We start from the raw sequence: 5815 nt of genomic DNA, 5'->3' as shown, positions 1-5815 counted from the left end.
AGGATTTTTTCTCAGATCAATACAGTTGTTCATATTTTATAAATGTGGTAAAGCCTATCTGGTAATTCTTCCCAGATATGATTTGCCCTTTGCCTCCCAGTTGCTCCCTGTCTCTGATTATCATTTCCCAAAGTCCCCACCACCCCATGTGTTAGGAGACAACATTTTGTGCTGAAGCCCACTGCACTGATGGAAATGGGTAGCTTCCAACAGAAAACCCTTCTGTTGCCAATGATCTGGCTCCAGTGGTGACGGGGCCGCGCTGCTGAGCGCAAGGGCTCTGAAGTTCCAGCTTAGCCCTGAGGTTTGGTGATAGCAGCCATTGTGTTCTTTCTACCTGTGGAGCCAGCATGCACCTTCGGAAACAATTGATGTACTCTGCCCCAGAATATGCAGCCACAGTGGAGTCACCAGAGTGAGACGAAGGGGACCTCTTGTATCTTGAAGAAATCCTGTAGAATAGAACAAATCTTAAATGTCTTCTTCAAGCAAAGAAGCCAGTCCCAGAGCAATAAATAAAGTTTATTTATTGCTATATATATATATATAGCAATATATATTTATATTATTTATTTGTTATATATATATGTAAGAATGTAGGTATACATACATGTGTCTGTGTGTACATGAATGAAAATGTATGTAAATCATGTAAATCTCCTAATAAAGGCTGGAAAATACACATCAAATGGCAAAGTAGTTATCCCTGGGGAAAGGAATGAAGGAGGATAACTTACATTTTGCAAAAATCTTTTACCCACAAGATTGCATTCATATTTGACTTGTGTAATGAGAGAGAGAGATGGAAGGAAGGAAGGAAGGAAGGAGCAGGAAGGAAGGAAGGAGAAAGAAAAGAAGAAGGAAGGAAGGAGCAGGAAGGAAGGAAGGAGAAAGAAAAGGAAGGAAGGAAAAGAAAGAAAGAAGGGAAGAAAGGAAGGAAGGAAAGAAGGAGGAAGGGACTTCTTTTTAAAATTTTTTAAAATTATGAAACACAAAATTTACTATTGTAACCATTTTTAAGTGTACAATTCATTAGTGTTAAGTATACTCACATTGTTGTACAACTAATCTCCAGAACTTTCCTCTTGCAAAACTGAAACTCTATTGTCATTAAATAACAACTCCCCATTGCCTCCTTGCCTCCTCTGTCCAGATGCTGGCAACTACCATTCTATTTTCTGTCCCTATTAATGAGTCTGACTACTCTAAATACCTCTTGTAAGTAGAATCATGCAGGATTTGTCTTTTTGTGACTGGTTTGTTTCACTTAGCATAGTGTCCTCACAAGGTTCAGCCATGTTGTAGCATGTGCCAGAATTTCCTTCCTTTTTAAGGCTAAATAATATTCCATTATATTATTATATATAAGGAATATTATATATTATTATATATTATATTTCTATATAAGGAATGTATATATTCCCTTCTAAAGCTAAATAATATTCCATTATTTTGGAATATAATTATAGTCCATTAATTATAGAATACTCCATTATGCCATTTGTCTAGTTAAGGGCCTTTAACTAGACAAATATTTAAGGAACTAATAATTCCAATTATTATTCCATATTATTGGTTCCAAATAATATTCCATTATTTATTGGATATAATTATGTTCCATTAATTATAGCATATAATTATACTATGATGGAATATTATTTGGCCTTAAAAATATATATATATCCCTCATATAAAGATAAACACACATTTGTTTATATATATATATATTTATTGTTTTTAAGGCTAAATAATAGATAAACACACATTTTGTTTATCTCTCTATCCATTGATGGATACCTGAGTTGCTTCCACCTCTTGGCTATTGTGAGTAATGCTGCTACCAACACAGCTGTACAAATGTCTCTCCAAGATTCTGCTTTGAATTCTTTGGACACATACCCAGGAGTGGAATTGCTGGATCATATGGTAATTGTATTTTTAATTTTTTGAGGAAAGAACTTTCTGAAAATAATTTTTTTTAAAAAAAGTTTACTATCGTCCTAGGCTCACATAGGGTTTAGGACCTAACCACTACAGCTCTGTGGAGAACACAGCTAAGTGTGGGGAGAGCCAACCCTTATCCTTCTTGATTAGGAGAGAGTTCTGACACCGTAAGAGGCATTAAGGAGGCTCCTGGGCCAGCCACTGATAGCCCTGCCTTATGTTAAACTAAGACTTCTTAAGGAATTCATTGCTTGGGCTCCCTGCATTCCTGCAAGGCAGATCAGGAATGAGAAGTTAGATAACTGTTAAAAGCATGCTCTGAGTTAGTGGGTATCGAAGCTCCAGAGCACAAATTGATCCAAGGCAAAGACCACTAGATCATGCTACTTCCAGCCCGTGCAAAGTGGCTACCAAATGGCTATTTTCTAAACGCGTGGTGTTTCTGTAACCTTGGCCGAGGGCTTTCAACCCTATACAATCGTGCAAGTAGACAGAGGTAAGAGCACCTTTTCTCGTGTTAACGTTAATTTTATTTTCAGAAATGAGTCAGGCCTGCATCTGCCTGTTGAGAAAAGCTATTTTCCAAAGTAGTGTCTGCACTTGGCATGACCTTAGGTGGGCCATGGACTTGCTCTGTGTTCACTTTTGCAAGAAACTTTTTAGGAAAGATTGTAAAACACTTTGAAAGCTAGCAACATTTGTGTACCAAAAGTCTGTTTCTCCCAACTCAATTCTGGCTGTTCTCTTCACACAACTTAACAGAGTTAATTGATGCCTAACTCTTTCTTAGTTTTTCCCCATCTGAAAAAAAGTATTAAGTTCCTTATTTCCCAGGTGGTATTTTCTTAATATTTCTAAGTAACATAGTCACTGGACCACCTACATCAGCATTGCCTCTGCCTTATGTTAAAATGCCTCGGGAAATTCTGAGGTGAGGCGGGATTTTTTAAGATGAAAATTTTGCGGCACCACATCAAACTGAACCGGAATCCAAGAGGGACAAGTCAAGGACTCTGCATTTTAAAAATCATTTGTTGAGGTTCACATAATATAAAACTAAGCATTTTTAAACGCTTTAGTACATTTACCACGCTGGGCAACCACCACTTCTATCTACTTTCAAAACATTTGTATCACTTGAGAGGCAAACTTGTCCAACCAGCGGCCTGTGTGTGGCCTGCACATGACCCAGGACAGCTTTGAATGCGGCCCAACACAAATTTTTAAACTTTCTTACAACATTGTAAATTTTTATGACTTTTGTTTGCTTGTTTTTTAGCTCATCAGCTATCATTAGTGTTAGTCTATTTTATGTGTGGCCCAAGACAATTCTTCTTCTTCCAGTGTGGCCCAGGGAACTAAAAAAACTGGACACCTCTGCTTTAGAGTAAAACCCCTTAGTCATTAAAAAGAATCTGCATTTTTAACAAGCTCCTCATGTTGTCACTGCACACCCTAGGGTTTGAGAACCACTGTAGTTAATTTAAAGGTGGGAGGCCGGGCGCGGTGGCTCACGCCTGTAGTCCCAGCACTTTGGGAGGCCGAGGCGGGCAGATCATGAGGTCAGGAGATCGAGACCATCCTGGCTAACACGGTGAAACCCGGTCTCTACTAAAAATACAAAAAATTAGCCGGGCGTGGTGGCGGGCGCCTGTAGTCCCAGCTACTTGGGAGGCTGAGGCAGGAGAATGGCGTGAACCCGGGAGGCAGAGCTTGCAGTGAGCCGAGATCGTGCCGCTGCACTCCAGCCTGGGTGACAGAGCGAGATTCCGCCTCAAAAAAAAAAAAAAAAAAAAAGAATTAGGTGGGAGGTACATAAATATGACATTGAACCACATAGGTGAGCAAGTTTATGATCCTGGATGTTAGGATTTCAACTGCATTCTGTTAATAATGTCTTCTATAATGCTATGGGGTTTGTATCACATTTCACATCATTAAAAGACTGGATCCTTACAGCATACTTGAGAAGTAAGCATTAGCACATCCATTTTACAGATTTGAAAAGCAAAGTTCATCATGGCTTCTTAGTGGAACTTGACCTAGCTACAAAGAGGCGGAGTACGATCTGGAATCTAGGCCTCTGGCTTTGGGATCTTGGCCTCCCTCTTGTGAGCACCTCCACTGAGAAGCCCCTGACCCTGCTAGGAAGGCTGCAGAATGAAGGGACTCAGCCTGAGAGAGGCCTCTACACCTCAGGGGCTACTTTCATTTTAAAAGTTCTTTTTAATGCCTCTGCTTTTCAGAGTCTCATTTGGCCCCTCAAAAAGGTTCGAGATATATGGCAACCCATGAAAGGGAAACAGAAAAGTTATAACAGATGAGCAAAACAGTTTGAAATATTGATGTATTTAAAAGAGGTCTCTCTTGGTGCCATTGGAGAAGCGTTGCCATTTCTTACTTAATGGATTAACTGCTAGGCTGACATACAGTGTCTTTTTAAACAAAGCTCCCTGCTAATCCAGACCAGTCTCTTATGTACTATTTGTTCACCCAATCTAACATGCATCAGAGCCTGAACGTGTGTTGTCTGTGGATAACTAAGGCTGGGATCACGCAAAATGGTTGATCACAGATCTGAACTGGCATTTGGTTTACCCTGACAATAACCTGAAAATATCTCTATAGATACACAGATAAACGTGGCAGACAGTTACTTTGCTTATCCTGTTTTGCATTGACTGGAACTTAGAGATGCAGGTTTCAATTGGATAAAAACACGGCAGCTAAAATATTTTGCCTTGCAATAGAGAAAGGAAACTGCATATGGCTGAAACCCTCCCCGACCGCCTGCTCTTCCCCCAGTCAAGGTGTCTGTCACCAAAAAAGGGCTATATTTGTAAATGTTAACGAAAGCTAAACACAGGGTTTTGCTATGGTAAGAAAATGCCACACTCCCCTTCTCCATAAATTGGGTTTCTAGGAAGCAATCCCTCCCCCAAGAAACGGCTTGTGGGGAGGGCAAAGCAACCAGCTGGGTTGTAGGAGTAATAAAGAAGGAGAATCAATAGGGCATGCAATGGAGCCAAGGTGCTGCCATTTATCACGCCGCTTCTCTGACTCCAATCATTCATCATGCTCAATGAGGCAGCAAATAGGAAAATGACTATTTGTATCAAACACATCTGCACTCATCCACTGAGGTATTTTATTCCCATTAACTCTGAAAGTAAAATACGCAGAGTTTTCTAGCTTCTTTCAGCTCAGGTTGGCAGAAGAAATTCACAGCCTATGAGCACAAACGTCGGCATGAGTTTGCACAGCATTTCTGGGAAGGATTTGGGGGGATGCCGCGGTCTTGCAGAGCTATCCCGGCCCCCGACGTTTTAGCACGGCTCTCGGAAATGCGGTCGTCTAAACTCACCACCCAGCTTCCCCTTCTCCCCAGTGATGAGAACACCATCAAGGATACAGTAAATACTCATTACATTATCTCTCAATGGTTCCCTTTTTATCTCATAAATTACCCCTGCTAGGTGGCATGGAAGCTAATTTCACTAAGTCTGTGGAAGATCAGATGTAAATGGGAGGATTATCATCATTATGGTGTAATATCCCATGAAATGGTAGCATCATTCCTGGTTCTTTTTATGAGGTGCGCAAGTTTATTTCAGCCTGCAAACGTGCTTCTGTGGCCCTCAGCGGGACGGAGAACCAGGCGGTTGCGGCAAAAAGAGCTTGGGATTTCAAGGCAGGATTTTCTCCAGGCCTAGAAAGGAGAAGCCTCTGCCCAGAGAAAGGTGAGTGCAGCCAGGTTTGTGGAAAGTTCTCCCTGGTCTTTTCACTGGCACCAATTTTAAGCCGAGCAGAACCGTGCTGCCTCCCCGCAAATCACCACCATCCCGCCTGCCCCTTGAACATCTCTAAACCT

General features: G+C 41.0%; 1 annotated feature.

Annotated features, from left to right (window-relative positions):
• Positions 1902–2435: an enhancer, noted in NCBI's record as "NANOG hESC enhancer chr5:77167707-77168240 (GRCh37/hg19 assembly coordinates)". NCBI's record gives its function as "activates a minimal SCP1, AML or CMV promoter by ChIP-STARR-seq in naive H9 embryonic stem cells {active_cell/tissue: H9 hESC(naive)}" and the evidence as "EXISTENCE:reporter gene assay evidence [ECO:0000049][PMID:30033119]".

The sequence above is a fragment of the Homo sapiens genome, chromosome 5 (assembly GCF_000001405.40).
Source record: "Homo sapiens chromosome 5, GRCh38.p14 Primary Assembly".
NCBI lineage: Eukaryota > Metazoa > Chordata > Mammalia > Primates > Hominidae > Homo > Homo sapiens.
Note: the sequence above shows the minus strand (reverse complement) of the source record. Positions and strands in the feature narration are given on the sequence as shown.